This window comes from Homo sapiens, chromosome X (assembly GCF_000001405.40).
Source record: "Homo sapiens chromosome X, GRCh38.p14 Primary Assembly".
Classification (NCBI taxonomy): Eukaryota; Metazoa; Chordata; class Mammalia; order Primates; family Hominidae; genus Homo; species Homo sapiens.
The window spans coordinates 41,593,446-41,615,333 of NC_000023.11; the positions used below are offsets into that span (position 1 = coordinate 41,593,446).

General features: G+C 41.0%; 1 protein-coding gene across 12 annotated transcripts in view, besides 3 other annotated features; it reads right to left on the reverse strand.

The window, feature by feature from the left end:
* Window positions 1-21,888, reverse strand: part of CASK (calcium/calmodulin dependent serine protein kinase) — a 408,621-nt gene that overhangs the window by 78,512 nt on the left and 308,221 nt on the right. For all 12 annotated transcript variants that reach the window (NM_001126055.3, NM_001410745.1, NM_001126054.3 and 9 more), the window contains one exon: window positions 16,459-16,580. In NM_001126055.3, the coding sequence (NP_001119527.1) occupies window positions 16,459-16,580 (122 nt within the window). The remainder of the gene's footprint in view (window positions 1-16,458; window positions 16,581-21,888) is intronic.
* Window positions 3,263-3,382: a silencer, noted in NCBI's record as "silent region_20776". NCBI's record gives its function as "represses an Ori minimal core promoter by ATAC-STARR-seq in GM12878 lymphoblastoid cells {active_cell/tissue: GM12878}" and the evidence as "EXISTENCE:reporter gene assay evidence [ECO:0000049][PMID:35858748]".
* Window positions 3,423-3,472: a silencer, noted in NCBI's record as "silent region_20777". NCBI's record gives its function as "represses an Ori minimal core promoter by ATAC-STARR-seq in GM12878 lymphoblastoid cells {active_cell/tissue: GM12878}" and the evidence as "EXISTENCE:reporter gene assay evidence [ECO:0000049][PMID:35858748]".
* Window positions 11,575-12,076: an enhancer, noted in NCBI's record as "NANOG hESC enhancer chrX:41464273-41464774 (GRCh37/hg19 assembly coordinates)". NCBI's record gives its function as "activates a minimal SCP1, AML or CMV promoter by ChIP-STARR-seq in primed H9 embryonic stem cells {active_cell/tissue: H9 hESC(primed)}" and the evidence as "EXISTENCE:reporter gene assay evidence [ECO:0000049][PMID:30033119]".

Sequence of the window (21,888 nt, forward strand, 5' to 3'; positions counted from 1 at the left end):
CTATGTACTAGGGATACAGAGATGAAAAAGATGAGTTTCTGTCTTCAAAGAGCTCACAAATTCCAAAAATCTGTATAACCAAAGGCCCAGAAATGTATGAAGGATTCAACCCTTTGGAGACCAGAGAGTAAGTAGTTTGGTCCCCAGCAATAACAACTGGCAATGATCTCAGTGGGCAACCCGAAGTTGGAAAGTATCTTGATGTATATGCATAATATGTCAACCTTCATTTCCCCCACCAATTTCTACATTTTTGTCTTAGAGACTCAAAATACTTTAGTGATATCCATAGCATATACAAAGCATTTGAGAAATATGGCAAAGCAGGTAAATAAAAAGTCATCAATGGAAAAAAGTTCGAATGCGATGTAACATTGAAGTGTTTAAAAACAGTAGTTAGAAACATAGTGCTTTTGGATTTCTCATTCTCATGGGTCATCTGCATATTATATGCTGCCTGCAAAGATATGCAGGACTCAAATTTCAAATCTAGGTAGAGTTTTGTCAAGGTCTGGGGCAAATGAAAGGTAGCTGGGTTTTGAGAACAAAGGAAGACTGCAGCTTGTCTTTCTTACCCTTTACCCACCCCCCATTCTATCATATATAAAGAATATATAAAATGTTACTTGGGACCTTACCAGTAGTCTTGGACTTTCAGCTAAAGCCCAAAGCTAAGGCCAAGAGGAAGTAAATGGCACTGAACCTGCTATAAAGCTGCTAGACCACTTCTCCTGGGCTTGCTGAAAGGCAGTCAAAATGGCCCTTCCATATTCACCCCAGGACCCCTCATTCTGCCTATAGAGGCAGAAGTCTGGGATTTGTAGGAGTCACAGGACTAAGAAGAGCAAGTATTTGATTATTCCCTTCTCCTTCTTGTTCGGGAGGAAAGGAGAGGGGATTGCACCCTCCCTCATACAAAGTGAAGGATGGTAGATGCCCCAAAAGAACCACGCATTAGACACTGGAGGTGCCAGCCAGAAGAGCTCACTATCTCATTCTCTGGAGGGATGCTTGCTGAATTGTAGCAACTTATAGGCCCACCTTGGTACACTAGAAAGGATCTCTGTGTGAGAGAGAGTCCTTGGGGCAGCTTGACATGTAGCATTTGGGGTCCTAAGCAAAAAGAGACTGGTGCCTGCCTCTTTCATGACTGGAGGCCGCCTGGGGCAGGCCATGCTTGTAGTGTATGTTGAGTTAAGCATGTGTGTGTTTCCCATGAGTCAAGGAGACACTGCAGAAGGTAGCCTGGCTGGAGCCATCTGGATACAGCCCTGCCCAGGAGGACAAGAGGACTCAGAAGTAAAAAGCTATGTGGTAACCCCTGGGGGCAGGGGACGAGAACGTTTCTGAGACCAGGTGCTGAGTATACTGACGATGCAGAAACCACACGTCTGCAACTCAGGACAGAGCCAACACTGGGGTGTCTGCCACACCAAGGGCATCAACAGCCAAGAGGGAACTGAATGTCTGAGGTACATTATAGAACATGCTGTTTAAGTGGTTCTTTTTCTTTCCCACGACCAGACTCGGGTTCTCTGACATTAGGTAATAGCCCCTAGCGTGAGGCTGAGTACATAGTAGTGTTTAAGAAATGCTTCCTCTAGAAAAAATAAGTATTATATTTGGACTAGTACATAGAAATTGTAAATAGATTTAAAAAAAATTCAGAGTAACATAAAATAAACACACCAGGAATATTTATTTCAGCTTGTTTCTTTAGGAACCAGATATTATTTCTCTTCGATCCTGCATGTGCAGTTAAAAACTTTCCCTCAAAATTAAGAAATGTGTTTTGACTATATTTAATTCTTTCTTTTGTATCTTTTAAGTCTGACTTACTTTATACAACTTTCAAGGTAAAAGAGACCTTAGGGCTGGGTGTGGTGGTTCATGCCTGTAATCCCAGCACTTGGGGAGGCCATACGAGGTAGGAAGATCACTTAAGCCCAGGAATTCAAGACCAACCTCGGCAAGATAGTGAGACTCTGTCTCTACAAAAAAATAAAAAAATTTGCTGGGTGTGGTGGTGATTGCCTGTAGTCCCAGCTACTCAAGATGGGGAGGTAGGAGGGTTCCCTGAGCCCAGGATGAGTGAGCTGTGATTGTGCCACTGCACTCCAGCCTGGGTGACAGAATGAGACTCTGTTTGGGGTACCAAAAAAATAAAAATAAAAAAAAGAGGAGATCTTAGATGTCAACATGATTCAACTCCTCCATTTTAAAAAGTCAAAAGCTGAGTTCCAGTCAGGTGAACTGTCATGGTCAGGGTCATACAGCCAGAGTAGCAGGGACCTGACCCTGCCCTGCTGATATGCTGTCCTTTCTCTCATCCAGATCTCCTCAGCTTGTTACTAGAATTCAGTAATACACAATGCCTTGTGCCAGGGAGATATCTTTGGCAAATACTTGGGAAAAAAGCTGTAAAAAATTCTATTTATAGGCTGCAGGGAAAAATACACTCAATATGATTTGAAAACTATTAGCTACTCAATTACAAGCCTTGCCATGTTAAAGAATGTCAGGATTCTCACCTGAGGTGAGGAGTTCGAGACTAGCCTGGCCAACATGATGAAACCCCATCTCTACTAAAAATACAAAAATGAGCTGGGTGTGGTGGTGCATGCCTGTAGTCCCAGCTACTAAGGTAGCTGAGGCAGGAGGATCGCTTGAACCCGAGAGGTGGAGGTTAAGGTGAGCCGAGATCACACCACTGCACTCCAGCCTGGGCAACAGAGTGAGACTCTGTCTCAAAAAAAAAAAAAAAAAGAATATCAGGATCCTAATCCTATCCTGGCAAGATAGGAAATATTTTAGGCTTTGCAGGCCATATGATCTCTGTCACAGCCACTAAACCCTGTTGTGTTGTATGAGGGCGGCTGTTAATAATCCATAAATGAATGAGCATGGCTGTGTTCCAATAAAACTTTATTTACAAAAACAGGTGGCCAGCTGGATTTGGCCTGAGGGCCATAGTTTGTGAATCCCTGCTCTAGAAGCTTAAATTCAAGTTATATTGGAATGACAAAATGTATTTCCTTTTGCTATTTGCTTTCCTGAAATTTGAAGGTATCAGGTGTATTTGTAAAGCTGAGGTGTGAAGGGGGAGGAAGAGAGAAGGAAGAATGTTAATAAATTATCCCTAGAGGGAAAACAAGAATGAATCTGTTACTGTTTACTCTCTTTTTCTAATGAAATTATCATTACCCAAATTCAGCACTTTTTATTAAAAAAAACAAAAAACAAAAAACATGTACACACAACACCAGGGCAAAACAAGGAAATGTGAACAGCTGCAAGGGAAACAGACTGTCTCATATTGTCTCACAGATAGGCCTGCTCTCTGCAAATCTCTGGTACTGAGTCAGATATGACCACACATACCTACACCGACACGCTTCATTCATCTTTCTGTCTTAGGAAGTGTCGCCACAGTTCCATAAAGAGAACACATTCTACATTTGACATGGGTTTTCAAATGAAGCAGAATAAACTTGGTAGTGATATTAAATTCAAATCTCCTGAGATTGTACTTTCAAACATAAAGATGATAAAATCAGTTAATATGTCACCTTTTATTTACATTCAAAGCACTAAATCAAGTTTCATTTTTTATCATACTCATTATATCACATTATCTTCTGATTTCTTAGTTATCAAATAGAAACCTGTGTTTTGCTCATAGTTTATGTGCAGTATTTATCAAGATCAACATTTAAAATGGAATGCATGGTAAGAAGCTATAAAATAATTATCACTGAGTTGTATGTCCCACTAACTTTTTTTGCACAGAGAAAACCAAATCTAAGGACCAGAATGTATACTGTTTCAGACAAGTTGATAACTTTTGCAACTATACTGTAGGCATAGGCTTGTAGGGTTGCAAAGAACATTGATGTTCATTAGCAACCATCATCTTATCACTTACTTTATAGATACTGAAGAAGTTTCCTGCTGGAAAAGAATGAAAGTTTGCAAGAATCAAATATTTAGCTGCAAAATATTTAATGAATGTGTCTGTGATGATCCTAATAAAACAGATAATAACAGTGTGCACGGAATTACACTGTGTAGCAATAATGACCATTGAAATAACTTGTTCTGGAAACACTGACTATCTTATTAAGAACTTTCTTCAGTTTCTGTGAATTACGTGGGTAAATAGGAACAAAGTTTCAATGTCACATCTTTTCAGTGAACTGAGCAGATCAGCCATCAATACATAACAGGTATTTTCTCATATACATTTGAAATTGAGCAAAATATTAGGGAAAGCTGATTTAATACTGAAACACAGAGAACTGATATTCAATTACTGTACTGGAACTGATTTTCTGAAGTTGGAGATCACAGAAAACTTTGTAAGATCTAAAAATCTATTTTTCTTGCTCAAGTTTACATATAAACTTGTTGAGGCCAGGTGCAGTGGCTTGCATCTGTCATCCCAGCACCTTGGGAGGCCAAGGTGGGCAGACTGCTTGAGGCTAGGTGTTTGAGACCAGCCTGGGCCACATGTGGAAACCTCGTCTCTACAAAAAATACAAAAATTAGCCAGGTGTGGTGGCGCACTCCTGTAATCCCAGCTACTTGAAGGGCTGAGGTGGGAGGATTGCCTGAGCCTGGAAGGTCGAAGTTGCAATGTGCTATGATTGCATGACCGCACTCCAGCCGGAGTGACAGACTGAGGCCCTGACACACACACACACACACACACACACACAGAGTCCTTTCAAAGATCCTTGGCATCATTAAACATCATGTAGTTCAAGCTTGGAGAAGAGCAGTGTATTTAGCAGTGGCCTAAAGATTGCATGATGGGCAACGTAAGTGTGAAAGAAACATTGCAAAATTTAAAATGGCATTTTCAAAAACTTAAGGAGCTACAATTAAACACTAGGAAGAAGTTTTTTTCTTTTTTCTTTTTTTTGAGACGGGGTCTTGCTGTGTTGCCTAGGATGGAGTGCAATGGCACGATCTTGGCTTACTGCAACCTCCGCCTCCTGGGTTCAAGCAATTCTCCTGCCTTAGCCTCCTGAGTAGATGGGATTACAGGCACGCACCACCACTCCCGGCTAATTTTTGTATTTTATTTTATTTTTAGTAGAGACGGGGATTCACCATGTTGGACAGGCTGGTCTTGAACTCCTGACCTCAGGTGATCCACCCACCTCGGCCTCCCAACGTGTTAGGATTACAGGCGTGAGCCATGGCACCCGGCTGGAAGAACTTCTATAACCTGTCCTTCTTACAAATCTAAACACAATTCTGTATCATTGGGATATTACAAGTTACAAAAAGAAATCAAAATCACTCAGGCCATTTTTCTTTTTTGACGTGCAAAGAATGCCTATCCTACCTGCACCAAAAATTGTTTTTCTTGAAATTTTATATTCTACAAAATTGCTAAAAATCAATTTATTTTAAATAGTTGAAAGCACTCAAATAATAGTCATACAGATGACTATCTGCATGGAGATAGCAAACTCCATTCATTTGAAGGGAATTCATTTGAAGATTTCATTTCATTCATTTTGAAAATTTTACAAATCTTACACTAAATTTGTTTCTCATCTTAAAAAGTGTGTAAATTCCTAAATCTAGTGACTGAAATCAAGGAGCAAGAGTTCCACCCTGGAATTTAGATTTTCCCTGGACTAAGGTTCAGGGCTGCTCCCAATACCATGGCCCAGTTTGTACTACATAACTCAAGTTGAAGATGGACATGTAATGGACAACTGCTTACTGTATTTAATGGCCAAGAAGAATGTTCCTGGATGCTCTTGAGTTAGGTGTTCCGGGAAAGCTTTAGTTTAATAGCTTAGCAGTGAAATGCTAACTTAAATCAAGTTTTAGTAAAATCATGATGGGGAATATATCCTTACTTGAAGGTGCAAGAAGGAGTGCAGCTGGCCTAGTAATACGCTGCTCTAAATCCATTATTAAAGTTTTCTTCTGTCAGCAAAAAAGGCAATTAAAAAATCAGTACATCTGGGCCAGTACAAGATTTCCTGAAAAAGCTGCAAAAATCCTTTGGATCCTGACAGCAAAAGAACCTCTAAGGAGGCCCTTGTTTTGTTTAGGTTTTATTTGTCTGTATACAGGGCTGCTTTTGTTCTAATCCTATTAGAACATCGCACTTACAGGGATTTATTTTTGAATTCAAGAAATTAAGACTTGCTTGACCTCCTAGTTCAATCCAAGAAGACTGTGCCTTTGGTGGCCTAACAACATAGGCCAGTGTGGCAGATTTCTGGTCAGTTGGCAGCTATTTCTGAGAAACTCAAACACTGGCCTCAGATGACCTAGCTTGACTGTTCTCTATGCCTTTTTCAAGTGGTCAAATAACTCTAAAATTAAGCCCTGTAAAACACAAATCATAATGCCTATTCTTGAGCAAAAGAAAGCATGAGGAAAAAAACCAGTTACATGATATAATATAGGCAGATTTTATCTTGTTTTAATAAAATCTTCTGAAATACGGTACTTTTTAGTATCAGATACAAGAGCTTGCCCAACTATGAGAAATTTTCACTATGATATTAATTTCCTTTCTATTTTTTTAAAGTGTTAAAATCACATTTCCTAGCTTGGCTCTTCTTAAGCAACTACAAGAGTTAAATGATATTTACATTAAATGAACATACAATTATTAATGTGCTGCTTTAAAAGGTAACATTTATGTTACATTAGGTGTGTCAGATAATATTTTATTTAATTATTTTTGGCTTTTGCTACCTTTTTTATTTTGCATAGGTAAACACCAAGCATTTGTACTTGGTGTAGCTGTAGCAAAAATGAATTTCTGTCATGAAAAATTTAAAGAGAATAGCACAAAGGCAGTCTGGCAGAAGAGTTTTATGAGATCATGTTTGAAGGGCCACAAAGAGAAGAAAACAGCTATGTTCTTGGATTATGAATGCTGCAAGCCACTCCATCGAACATTCTTTAACTGAGCATATCACATTCCTTTCTAGGGGGAAACCCCTCCTTTCCTTGAGCATAGCATAAAGAAGAATCAGTGCTTATTGTACTTAGAAGGCTTTCTGCAAATTCCTTTGCCTTTTGGTAAAGTTGATCATGGTGTCATAAAAAGAGAATGGCACTCAGTGGGTAACACTGATACTGGTGACAAGCTGATTCATTATTCTTGGTATTCTAGAGTAAATTCTAAACCCTGCTTTAAGAAGTAATTTATCTGAACAAATAAGGGAATTGGAGGGACTTCCGTAGTCATTAATACTTTCAGTGGAAATCACACATTCCTTCACGAAGATGTATAGCATAAGATTTAACTTGCATCCTAGAAAGAGTAATTGTGTGGAGATGGAACGAGGCAGAATTCCCTACGATTAGACAGCCTTATTCTGAGAATTTGGTTTTTCCTAGTACATAATTATCAACCACAAAACATCAATATTGGATGAGTAGACAAACAAAATGTACTATACACACACGATGGAATATTATTCAGCCTTAAAAAGGAAGAAAATTCTAACACATGCTACAACATGGATGAACCTTGAAGATATCATGCTAAATGAAATAAGCCAGACACAAAAGGGCAAATACTGGATAATTTCACTTATATACGTGGTACCTAGAGTAGTCAAATTCATAGGGACAGAAAGTAGAAGGGTGGTTGCCAGGGGCTAAGGAGAGGGGTGAATGGGAGTCAGTATTTAATGGGTACAGACATTTAGTTGGGAAAGATGAAAGAGTTCTGGAGATGGATAGTGATGATGGTTGTATAACAATGTGAATATACTTAATGTCATTGAACTGTACACTTAAACATGGTGCAAGTGGCAAATTTTATGTTATATATATCTTGCCACAACAAAAAAGACCAAAAAATTGATGTTAAAAAAGTATCAAAAAGCTGTGAATTTTTGGAAATGGCAAATATGTACTTGAATGTAGAAGGAATGAACTAAAATAAGTTGCTCTAAGGTGTCTTCCATATTGAAAATCTATAAAGTTATGTAATTCATAACATTTTCAAACAAAAAACACAATTTGGACTTCTTCCATAAGGCACAACTACACGCTGGTTAATAAAACAGTTCTTGGGAGAAAAAACCATATTTAGTATTTTTGAATCAGTGGTAAATTCTTAGCCACAAAGCTAAATTTTAATTTAGTGTAATGGCCCTGTGAAATCTAGTGGGATGATAGTAAATTTATATAGTTGTACAACCACCATCTCAATCCAGCTTAAGAACATTTCCGTAATCCCCCCAAATTCCCTTGTGTCACATCTAAGAACTCTTTGCCTAACCCAAGGTAATGAAGATTTATTCCTATATTCTTTTAAAAGTTTTATAGTTTTAAGCTCTTAAAGTGAATCTATGATCCATTTTGAGGCAATTTTCTTTTGTGTATGGTATGAGACAGGGTCTAAGTTCATTTCTTGCATATGGATCTCCAACTGCTCCAGGACCATTTGAAAAAAAAAGACTATCCCCCTTTCCATGTAATTGCATTGGCAATCTTGTTGAAAATAAATTGACCATAAAGGTGAGGGTTTATTTCTGGACTCTTTTTTGTTTCAGTGATCTGTATATCTATCCTTATGCCAACACCATACTATTTTGATTATTGTAGCCTTATAGTAAGTTTTGAAATCAGTTATCCAATTTTTTTCTTTTTCAAAATTGTTTTGGCATTTTTATATAAATTTTAGGATCACCTTGTTGACTTCTACAAAGAAATCCTACTGGGATGTTGATAGGGACTGCACTGAATCTATAGATCAATGTGGAGAAAAGCGCCATCTTAACAATATTAAGTCCTCCAATCCAACAGTATATCTCTGCTCATTTATTTAGATCTTTCTTTCATAGCATTTTTTAGTTTTCAGTATACAAATCCTACATTTTTTTTGTTCAATTTATTCCTATTTTATTCTTTTTATAATATTGTGAATATTTCTTTAATTTTATTTTTGGGTTATTTTTTGCTCACATATAGAAATTTAGATAATGTGTGTATATTAATCTGGTATCTTGTGACCTTGCTAAGCTTGCCTATAATGCTATTAGATTTTTTGTGGATTCCTTAGTATTTTCTACATGCAAGATAACAACTCTGGGAAAGGATGATATTACTTCTTCCTTTCCAATCTTCATGCCCTGAATTTCTTTTTCTTGTCTTAGCTGCACTGGCCAGAGTCTCTGGGACAATGGTGAATAGAAGTGGGGAGTGGACAATCCTCATCTTGTTCCTGGTTCTATCAGTTTTCTATTGCTGCTTAACAAAGAACCATATGCTTAGCGGCTTTTTTTTTTTTTTTTTGCTAAGTTTATTGACATTTATTTACATTAAGAAAGAAGGAAAAATACTTTGAGAATATTCACGACATATGGTATTTCTAGCTTTCAGGTATTTTGTTTCATGCCGTACTTTTACACTGACAATACTACTTCAATACATGGAGAGAAACAGATATGGGAGGTTTTGCCCCTCCAGTTAGAAAACAGTGGAGAGACACTCAAATTCAAAGGGAACAGCAATGCGCTTCAGTCTACAGCCCCAGGAGGCAAGAAGCACAAAGACCACCACCACTGGGCAGGGGCCCACTGTGCAGCTGGTTTCATAATTGCCAAAGCTGACTCTTAAGACTGGATGGGGCCCTGAGAAATTACTAGTAGCTCATCCTCTGAAGGTCCTCAGATAGGCTTTATTATTCTAGACATTTAAATGCAAATTGGCTGGACTACAAATTCTTGGGAAACTTAGCTTTGGCATTTCCTGATTGGCAATCTCTTTAAATATCCAAACCTAACATTGTATTTAACTTACTTCTCAGACCCCAAATTGCTCAAAAACATTATCTCCAGATTATTGTAGAAGTTCCATCTTTTTCCTTTAGGAAACTTCTGAGTTCTAAAAATAAGCTCTTCTAAATATGGCTACTAATTTAATGTCATCTCAAAAAAGCGAAATAGTAAATCAAGAATTGTAGTTTTCCATGGCTAACTCCAGGCCAGATGGAAAAATGCTAACTCTCCCTAAACGGTAAAAAATTATAATAAAGATGTTGGCCATACAAAATATGAAAGATTCCAAGTATCAGTTAATTGCTAATGCAATATTTAAAAGTTACTAAGTCTATTATAAAAGTCTACTTATAAATTAATATTATAAAGACTCCTAAATTAATTGCTACTGCAATTTTAAAAATTCATCAATAAATTGCTATATTAATCTAATCACCCATTATATTTTCAGAAACCACAATTTTAAGACTTCTTACAAAAATAATCTTAATTAGGTGGGGGCATTTACTATGGAAACAGCAGTGCGTAACAAATGCTAACAGCTGTTCAGAGGTATGACAGATGGCCAGTTAATGTTTAAAACTTAGTTGTCAAAGTTTGGCAGAGAGATGTGTCATTTAACAATGTTTTGTAACACTGGTGATTTACAAACTAAACATTTATTATTTTAATAGGAAAATTTATACTAGAAACTGAGAAGACTGAAAACTACTACCAAATAATATTTGTAAAATGTTTTTAATCCAAAAAACATGGCTTTTCAGTCCATCAAAAACTCACCCACCCACTGACCTTCCAATGTATCACATACAAATTCCAATCCATAACTGATTCAAAATATCATTACAAGACATAAATAACACTTTAACACCAATTCCCAATAAAGCATAATTAATGGATGACAGGGTAACATTTCATTATTTTATATTAGATTTGTGTAATTTGCACTCACACGTGAAGAATTAATTCAGGGTTAAATCAGTTTTCCATGCTGTACTGGGGTGAATATTGTCCCTCACTCAAAATTTATGTTTACCCAGAACCTCAGAATGTGACCTTATTTGGAAATAAGTGTCTTTATAGATGTAATTAATTAAGATGATGTCATACTAGATTAGGGTGTCCAATGACTGGTGTCCTTCTAAGAAGGCCATGTAAATACACAGACACACACGCACAGAGAATGACATGTGATGACGGAAAAAGAGACTGGAATGATGCATCTACAAGTCAAGGAATGACAAGGATTGCAGGCAACCACCAGAAACTGGAAAAGACAAGGAAGGATTCTTCCCTGGATCCTTTGGAGGGAGCATGCCCCTGCCAATGCCTTGATTTAGGACTTTCCAGCCTCCAGAACTATGAGACAATCAATTTCTGTTGTTTTAAGCCACACAACTTGTGGTACTTTGTTATGGCAGTCCTAGCAAACTAATGTCAAATTGTACTTTACTAATTGATCTATACATTTCATACGAAGATCATCTTAGCACCAGTGCTTTTAATTTTTAAATACAGGCATACTGCAACAAGCTGGACCAAGCAGTTCCTCATGCCTCTGTATTTCTTCCCACAAAATGAGAAGCTGCATATGTGTGCCAGGCTGGAACCACTTGGATAGCAAATATTTAGAGTTTTCTGTATCAGTTTCTAACTACAGATTAAACTAAATGTGTTTTACTCAAATTCAAAGGTTTTCAGAAAGCATTTCCCTTTCAGTAGAATCACAGTACTTCTCCATTTTAATGTAAATGTTTCAGTTTGGCAGTTTTGTTTCCTGTAAACAAATTCTAATAATGCTTCTTCAAATTTTGAGCTTGTTATTATTTTAAGAACATGACTAGAAAAAATAAAGAAGTCATAGATAATCTTTAGTTTTTCTTAGGAACTTAATCCTGTTTCTTTTTGTCAGCCTTAAAATTATGGCTTCATACCTAGCTATTTAGAATGTTATTGAGTTAACAGAAATAACATAAAAATGGTAAAGATATTTCCTAAAATGGCTCAGTGGGATTAATTAGCCTTAATTAATTCATGGTCCATAAAACTATGCCCCCTGGGTGTCCCTACTTGGAATCCTTAAAAAGGAATTCATGCTGGGGCAATGACTCATGCCTGTAATCTCAGCACTTTGGGAGGCCGAGGCAGGAGAACTGCTTGAGCCCAAGAGTTTGAGACTAGCCTGGTAGCCTGGGCAAACATGGTGAGACCTGTCTCTTCAAAAAAAAAAAAGGGCTGAGTGTGGTGGTGCACCTGTGGTCCAGATACTTGGGTGGTTGAGGTAGGAGGGTGCTTGAGCTCAGAAGGTCAAGGCTACAGTGAGCCAGCCTGGGAGAGCCCTGTCTTAAACAAAAAACAAACAACAAACAAAAAAAGGCAGAAGAATTCGTTTTGATTCTGCAAAATAAAACAATTCCAAATCAACCATGGTATGTGGAACATGGGAAGAAAGAAAAATGAAAGGCCCAATTTTTTTTGACAGAGTTTTGCTCTGTCTCCCAGGCTACCGTGCAGTGGTGTGATCTTAGCTCACTGCTACGTCCACCTCCTGCGTTCAAGTGATCCTCCTGCCTCAGCCTCCCAAGTAGCTGGGACTACAGGCATGCGCCACCATGCCTAGCTAATTTTTGTATTTTTAGTAAAGACAGGGTTTTACCATGTTGGCCAGGCTGGTCTCAAACACCTGACCTCAAGTGATCCTCCCGCCTCGGCCTCCCAAAGTGCTGAGATTATAGAAGTGAGCCACTGCACCCAGACTGAAAATCCAACATTTTAACAGCTGCTCCTCAAGAGTTCGTCATAGCCATTTTTCTTCCTTAATGTATACCACAAACATTTAAATATTAAAATTTTTTAAATGATTAGATTTCTCTATATGGCAGTCACTTGAATTCTTCATTGATTATATTATTAAAATGTAGCCTGTTAGCTGTGAAATGAGCTTAATAAGCCTTATTTATGGGATGTAGGGTATGAGGGCACATTCTAATGATGGTTTATTTCATTCATGATGATTAAGCTTTCATTCATTCATTCATTCATTCATTCATTCATTCATTTTTGAGACGGAGTCTCGCTCTGTTGACCAGGCTAGAGTGCAGTGGCACGATCTCGGCTCACTGCAATCTCCACCTCCTGGGTTCAAGTGATTCTCCTGCCTCAGCCTCCTAAGTACCTGGGATTATGGGTGCCCACCACATTTTTGTATTTTTAGTAGAGATGGGTTTCACCATGTTGGTCAGGCTGGTCTCGAACTCCTGACCTCAGGTAATCCGCCCGCCTTGGCCTCCCAAAGTGCTGGGATTACAGGCGTGAGTCACCGTACCTGGCCTAAACTTTCATTTAGAAATAGCTCAGTTTGGAGATTCAGAACCACATGCATGCAAATATTGTCCAGGGCTCGGCCTCATAGTCATTAATTTGACTGGAGCTCATGTATGGCACCTGTTTACAAAATTCAGAAGATACTGCACCTTTTTTTTTTTTTTAGAGATAGAGTCTCACTTTGTTGCCCAGGTTGGAGTGCAGTAGTGTGATCATGGCTCACTGCACCCTTGAATTCCTGGGCTCAGGTGATCCTTCAGCCTCAGCCTCTGGAGTAGCTGGGACCACAGGCATACACCACCATGCCCAGCTGCTTTTTAAATTTTTTGTAGAGATGGGGTCTTGCTTTGTTGCCCAGGCTGGTCTTGAGCTCCTGGGCTCAAGTGATCCTCCCACAATGACCTCCCAAAGTGCTGGGATTACAGGTGTGAGCCACTACTCCTGGTCTTATACTGCACCTTTTTAATAGGCATGGTTCATTTTCAGTCCAACAGCTCCTCTTTCAAATTGACCTGCACTGACAGGGCAGATGCCAATAAGGCAGATACTTCTTTATAATGTAAACAAATGCAAAGGAAAGTTAAGTATGTTTTTCTCACTAACATCTAAGAATCTCTTCTGAAATTGTGACAATTTATACCAAACAGTGCAGCAGTTATTCGTGTCTGAATAGCTGCCCCTTTCCTTGTGTAAGCCAGTAATGTTCCTGCTTCTCCCCTGCAATCTCAAGCTTGATGTGCTCAGATACCTTGCTATATCAGTAAGAAAAAATACAACTTTGAAACCAATTTGGGCTTCTCTCAGTGTTTAAATTACAAAAAGTCTTTGTTACAAAAAGTCCTTGATTCAAAAGAAGGTCAGTAAATCTACCTGGCAATGACCTAAGCACTGACCACAATAAAATAAACAAAATCTCCACACACTGCTGTAGCCTTTTCTAAATATTGCACTAACTAGTTCTAGTAAAGGGTATAAACTTCAGTGGGAAATACACAATTGTGAAAACTTTCTGCAGCAATGACAGTGAATAGATACTACTTAAGATAAATTACACTAAAGAGAAGACCCAATTCCTTATCTTCCTGAGCACATTTCTAAACTACGTTCCTCAGCTCTCACATCCAGGTGAGCACGTGACTAGCAGTTGCCAAAGAATGTGAGATAAACCCATTTCCAAGCTTGACCCTGCAAGATTCTCCATGTTCTCTCTTCTCTCATTTGCTGGCTAGGTACAAAGGATACAGTAGAAGATTCCAAGACCCTGGGAAATAGCAGTGTGACCTAGTGGAAGAGGCCTGGGTCTCTGAATGACGGTGTGGAAAAGACCTCCCTCATCTACCTGCATTGGACTGTGAAGTGAGCAAGAAGTAAACTTCTATTCTGTTAAGCCACTCAAATTTTAGAATCACATGTTATAACAGTTAGTCAGCCCTAATTAATATGTACACTATATACAAAGGCCAAACTAGCCATGAAAATCTGATAATTAATTTGAACTGACCACATTTGGGGAAAGAAGCAACTGTTAGATACCTACGGCTGCATTTAGTGTAAAGCTGAAGCATAATGCAACAAACACTCTTAGCTGAGCTTTTCCCAAACTGGTCCTCATCAAAACAGAACTCAACAGGATTGTGAATAAAAGTTCTGTGCCCAAATTAGTTTGAGAAATGCTGATAAAGAAAGTTAAAAAGGTTTCTTTGCTTTAGATCATCTCAGAGCTATCAATATACCAACACCCATTGTGGATCTGTATAAAAAGACTAAAGAATGTAGCATTTCCCAAACTTATTTAGTCAATAAATAATTTAACCAATAAATTTAAGATCTACTTCCCCCTCCCACCATGGCAACACCCATAGCAACCTCCCAGAGCCATGCTCTGTAGAACACATTCTGGGAAATTTTGCTTTAGCTTCATTTACATCATATGGTGAATTATTCAGCACCAAACAGTTCTAGGCACCCCAAAGCAAGTATGATTCTCTCATTAAGGGAAGATTTTTCTTGTAAAAAGACTAACATGTTCAAATACCATCGAAACCACCCAAGAGTTTTCATTGCTGAAGTGAACCAAGTTCTCTAAGAAAGGTATTTTACTTAAAATGTGACTGAAATGAAAATGGTCAGCTTCTGTTTTTTCCTTTGTATCCCAGTCTGCTGTCAGTGGAGCCTGTAATATTTAAAGATGGAGTATATGCTTATGTTTTAAGGAGAAGACATTGAATCTATGGAACAAAACAATGTTAAATATGAAATGTGTGTGGGAATACAGCCTATTGCAAAGTATCTCATTTGCTTTTCTCTCTCCTATACTCATGCTGGAGGTATAATGTTTTAAAGTAATGTGCAAAGCAATAAAAAGTAATCACAGCTAACCTCAATGGATTCTTTTAACAGAAATACAAGATAATTCAGTAAAGTAGGATTGTACTCTACTCTTTTTTAAAACTCACATACCACTTGCATGCATTATGTACATATAATTTATAAATATAAAGATATATAAATTTTTTCCCATTGTAGCCTGCTAGGCTCTGTTGCATTTGTACTGTACATATACTGTATTTCTTTTTTCTTTGTTTTTGAGATGGAGTTTCGCTCTTGTTGCCCAGGCTGGAGTGCAATGGAGCGATCTCGGCTCACTGCAACCTCTGCCTCCTGGGTTCAAGCGATTCTCCTGCCTCAGCCTCCCGAGTAGCCAGGATTACAGGCATGCACCACCACAACTGGCTAATTTTGTATTTTTAGTAGAGATGGGGTTTCCCCATGTTGGTCAGGCTGGTCTCGAACTCCTGACCTCAGGTGATCCACCCGCCTTGGCCTCCCAAAGTGCTGGGATTACAGGCATGAGCCACGGTGCCCGGCCATATACTGTATTTCAATCATGAATTTTTGATGGATGATTTCCCACATTTCTCATAGGCTTAAGGCAACTGAAAAGAATTGTTATGATAGACATCTGAGAATTCATGTAAAGTAAAAAGGTATGCTAAATATTCAATTTCTTTTTTTTTTTTTTTGAGACAGAGTCTTGCTTTGTCACCCAGGCTGGAGTGCAGTGGTGTGATCTTGGCTCAGTGCAGCCTCCGCCTCCCGGGTTCAAGTGATTCTTGTGCCTCCGCCTCCTCAGCTCAGTCCTAACTGGGACTACAGGCATGCGCCACCACACCTGGCTAATTTTTGTATTTTTAGTAGAGACCACGTTTCACCATGTTGGCCAGGATGGTCTCAGTCTCCTGACCTCCTGATACGCCCGCCTCTGCCTCCCAAAGTGCTTGGACTACAGGCATGAGCCACCGTGCCCGGCCAATATTCAATTCACCAAAAAAGAAGAATAATAAAAAGACAGACTTACATCTAGTAGTGTGTGAAGATGCTGATCCTGGAAAACACTGTGTAGAAAATCTAGGTCCTTTTCACTGCAGTCTGTAAGCGCATGAATCTCTTCCAGGCTGTCCAGCACCTGTGAGACTGCTCCTAAGGGGGACAAACAGAAAAGAAACAGCCAGTATAGAAAGTCAATGTCAAACTAACTTTTTAAACCTAAATCTTACACTTAAGAACAATGAATTCATATCAGAACTTCAAAGGCTAGTGTCTTTACTGAAGGATAGACTTAAATGAGTTTCATATAATTTAAGGACACAGTATTTTCAGAGAGTTCATGTTCTTATTAATGTATTTGTGTGCTCTTCATTTTTCAGAGGAAACTGCAGCTTATCTTCTTTGAATTAATGAAATTTATCAAGTATAACCTAAGCACTAGAAGATCTGGACACAGCAAGTTTTATGTCAGGAAGAGAGTATGGGTTTCAGGACTCCAAGATGTTCTGAAATATTATAGAAACGAGGTTGGCCTTTTACCCAGGTGCATTCCATCAAGAACTGAAGGTAAAGCCAGCTGTAGATACAGGGAACAGACCTTCAACTGGGAACTCCTGCTGCTTAAAATAGGCTTCTTAGTTTTTAAGACTTGAACTTTAGTTAACAAAAATCCCAGTCCACTCCTTTTTTTTTCCTTTACATACAGACTCAAGAGATCCAAAGTCATTCTCATTCTGTTTTACTCTTACCCTTCTTACTCAGAAGATAAAGACAAAGTATAGGGACGCTGACTGACACTTCCAAATACCATATTAAATTTCAAGGCAAATCATTTTTGTAGGGCAAAGCAAATGGAAGTGCCATCACTTTAAGTTTCTTCTCATAACCAGGAAACCAGGCAGATGTCAGTAGGGAAAGATACACAATGAGGAGTAACAAAGCCATTTACACAGCCTTAAAAAAAAGATCAGCCTCTTTTACATTGCAGGCAATATGCAGAATACACATATATACTCCACAAAAAAAGAGCTCCAAGGAGCTAAGCTTCAGAACATTAGTACACAGTAGAGAAACTCTAAGAATAAGTGTCTCATTGCACATTTAAGTCTTTGGATCAGTGGTTCTCAACCAGGGGCAATTTTGTTACCCAGGTGGACATTTCCCAATGTTTAGAGATATTTTTGGTTGTTACAACTACAGCGGGAGGGCAGCTATTGCTATCTAGTGGGTAGAGGTCAGGGATGCTGCTAAACATCCTACAATACCCAGGACAGCCCCCACAACAAAGAATTATCTGGCCCAAAATGTCAGTAGTGCTGTGGTTGAGAAATTATATTTTTGATAAAGATAAAAATCTTTATGCTCCAGAACTCTGTTTCTAATTCTTCCTGACTTAGACCTTATCCATTCTCATGCAATTATTGGTGAGAATATATATCAGTACCACTTTTCCAGAAAGCAATCTGGTAACATATATCAAAAAGCCTTAAAAATGTTCATGCACTTCGATTTAGTAATTCCATTTACAAAAACCCACCTTAAGGAAAAAAATGGAAGATTTATATATAATGATATTATCATACAAAATGGAAAATAAATCTAATAGAGGATGATTACGTAGGTTATAGAATATCCATATAATGGAATATGTAGCCAAATGAAAATTGTTTTTGAAGAATTTCAAAGACACAGAGAAATCTTCATGATATAGAATTCAAGAAAGCAGCTCTCCCTCTCCCTCTCCCTCTCCCTCTCTCTCTCCCTCTCCCTCTCTCTCTCCCTCTCCCTCTCTCTCTCCCTCTCCCTCTCTCTCTCCCTCTCCCTCTCCCCACGGTCTCCCTCTCCCTCTCTTTCCACGGTCTCCCTCTGATGCCGAGCCGAAGCTGGACTGTACTGCTGCCAACTCGGCTCACTGCAACCTCCCTGCCTGATTCTCCTGCCTTAGCCTGCCGAGTGCCTGCGATTGCAGGCGCGCGCCGCCACGCCTGACTGGTTTTCGTATTTTTTTGGTGGAGACGGGGTTTCGCTGTGTTGGCCGGGCTGGTCTCCAGCTCCTAACCGCGAGTGATCCGCCAGCCTCGGCCTCCCGAGGTGCCGGGATTGCAGATGGAGTCTGGTTCACTCAGTGCTCAATGGTGCCCAGGCTGGAGTGCAGTGGCGTGATCTCGGCTCGCTACAACCTCCACCTCCCAGCCGCCTGCCTTGGCCTCCCAAAGTGCCGAGAGTGCAGCCTCTGCCCGGCCGCCACCCCGTCTGGGAAGTGAGGAGCGTCTCTGCCTGGCTGCCCATCGTCTGGGACGTGAGGAGCCCCTCTGCCTGGCTTGCCCAGTCTGGAAAGTGAGGAGCATCTCTGCCCCGCCGCCATCCCATCTAGGAAGTGAGGAGCGTCTCTGCCTGGCCGCCCATCGTCTGAGATGTGGGGAGCGCCTCTGCCCCGCCGCCCCGTCTGGGAGGTGAGGAGCGTCTCTGCCCAGCCGCCCCGTCTGAGAAGTGAGGAGACCCTCCGCCCGGCAACCGCCCCGTCTGAGAAGTGAGGAGCCCCTCCGCCCGGCAGCCGCCCCGTCTGAGAAGTGAGGAGCCCCTCCGCCCGGCAGCCACCCCATCTGGGAAGTGAGGAGCGTCTCCGCCCGGCAGCCACCCCGTCCGGGAAGGAGGTGGGGGTCAGCCCCCCGCCCGGCCAGCCGCCCCGTCCGGGAGGTGAGGGGCGCCTCTGCCCAGCCGCCCCTACTGGGAAGTGAGGAGCCCCTCTGCCCGGCCAGCCGCCCCGTCCGGGAGGGAGGTGGGGGGGTCAGACCCCCGCCCGGCCAGCCGCCCCGTCCGGGAGGGAGGTGGGGGGGTCAGCTCCCCGCCCGGCCAGCCACCCCGTCCGGGAGGGAGGTGGGGGGGGGTCAACCCCCCGCCCGGCCAGCCGCCCCGTCTGGAAGCTGAGGGGCGCCTCTGCCTGGCCGCCCCTACTGGGAAGTGAGGAGCCCCTCTGCCTGGCCAGCCGCCCCGTCCGGGAGGGAGGTGGGGGGGTCAGCCCCCCGCCCGGCCAGCCGCCCCATCCGGGAGGTGAGGGGCGCCTCTGCCTGGCCGCCCCTACTGGGAAGTGAGGAGCCCCTCTGCCTGGCCAGCCGCCCCGTCCGGGAGGGAGGTGGGGGGGTCAGCCCCCCGCCTGGCCAGCTGCCCCGTCTGGGAGGTGAGGGGCGCCTCTGCCCGGCCGCCCCTACTGGGAAGTGAGGAGCCCCTCTGCCCGGCCACCACCCCGTCTGGGAGGTGTACCCAACAGCTCATTGAGAACAGGCCATGATGACAATGGCGGTTTTGTGGAATGGAAAGGGGGGAAAGGTGGGGAAAAGATTGAGAAATCGGATGGTTGCCGTGTCTGTGTAGAAAGAAGTAGACATGGGAGACTTTTCATTTTGTTCTGTACTAAGAAAAATTCTTCTGCCTTGGGATCCTCTTGATCTGTGACCTTACCCCCAACCCTGTGCTCTCTGAAACATGTGCTGTGTCCACTCAGGGTTAAATGGATTAAGGGCGGTGCAAGATGTGCTTTGTTAAACAGATGCTTGAAGGCAGCATGCTCGTTAAGAGTCATCACCACTCCCTAATCTCAAGTACCCAGGGACACAAACACTGCGGAAGGCCGCAGGGTCCTCTGCCTAGGAAAACCAGAGACCTTTGTTCACTTGTTTATCTGCTGACCTTCCCTCCACTATTGTCCTGTGACCCTGCCAAATCCCCCTCTGCGAGAAACACCCAAGAATGATCAATTAAAAAAAAAAAAAAAAAAAAGAATTCAAGAAAGCAGAATGCAAAACTAAATAAACTGTATATTCCCAGTTACGATAAAAAACCAAACAAAACATATATGCAAACTCCGGAAAAACAAAAAACAGAATGAAACACAGCAAAAGTGTTACAGTTGTTATCTTTACTGTCCTATTTCTATTTCATTCTGTTCTTATCCATACTTTCCAAGTTTTTCTACAATAGCAAAACAAAACAAAATGCTATATAAGCTACTGATTTTTGTAGCTCTATTTAATTATGTTAAAGATTTGGGTCTTAAGCCACATACTGTGTGGCTGTCCACGTGGAAATTACTGTAGCTATTTTTTAAAATTTGACTTTTTATTTTGAGATAATTGTAGATTCACATGCAGTTGTAAAAGAAAATAACATAAAGGTCTCATGTGCCCTTTACCCAGTTTCCTCCAATAGTAACATCTTGCAAAACTGTAGTACAATATCACAACCTGGATATTGACATTGATACAGTCGAGCTATAAAACATTCCATTACCACAAGGATCCCTCATACTGCCTTTTTATAGCCATGCTCATTCCCCTCCTACCCTATCCCCTCCTAACCTGTGGCAACTACTCATCTGTTCTCCATTTCTACAATTTTGTCATTTTGATAATAAATGAGGCTCCTATTCTGGGCATACTGCCTATGGGGTAGCCCTGGTCTGCAAGGAGGAGTCCCTCTAAAAATTAAAAAATAAAATAAAATAAAATAAAAAGAATAAATGAAATCATACAGTATGTAACCTTTTGGGACTGCATTTTTTCACTTAGCATAATTATCTGGGGCTTCATCCAGGTTGTTGTGTGGATGTACCAGTTTGTTTGACCATTCGTCTGTTGAAGGAACTATGGATAATTTTTTTTTTTTTTTTTGAGATAGAGTCTCGTTCTGTTGCCCAGGCTGGAGTGTAGTGGCATGATCTTGGCTCACTGTAACCTCTGCCTCCCAGGTTCAAGCGATTCTCCTGCCTCAGCATCCTGAGTAGCGGGGATTACAGGTGCGTGCCAACACGCCCAGCTAATTTTGTATTTTTAGTAGAGACGGGGTTTCACCATGTTGGTCAGGTTGGTCTCAAACTCCTAACCTCGTGATCTGCCCGCCTTGGCCTCCCAAAGTGCTGGGATTACAGGCGTGAGCCACTGCGCCTGGCCTGGATAATTTTTTTTTCTGAGGCAGGGTCTTGCTCTGTTGCCCAGGTTGGAGTGCAGTGGCACAATCTCGGCTCACTGCAACCTCGACCTCCTGTGCTCAAGTGATCCTCCCACCTCAGCCCCCAGAGTAGCTGGGACCACTACACCCATCTAAGTTTTGTATTTTTTATAGAGATGGGGTTTTGTCATGTTGCCCAGGCTGGTCTTGGACTCCTGAGCTAAAGCGATCCTTCTGCCTTGAGCTCCCAAAGTGCTGGGATTACAGGTGTGAGCCACCATGCCCGGCTGGATAATATTAAATTTTGAATTATGCCTGCCAGGCTATTGGTATCCTTTCACTGAAAACATTAAGTGGATATTAAGTGGGATAAAAGAGATAAATGGCAGAAATCAGTCCTCATCTCCTCTGTTATTCCTAAAGAGGTATTAACCCAATCCACTTCCTTCTACCTGATCTTCTCAGGATTTACTTTGTTCAGAGTGCCCCCCCCTCCATCAAAAAATCTGGAAATTAG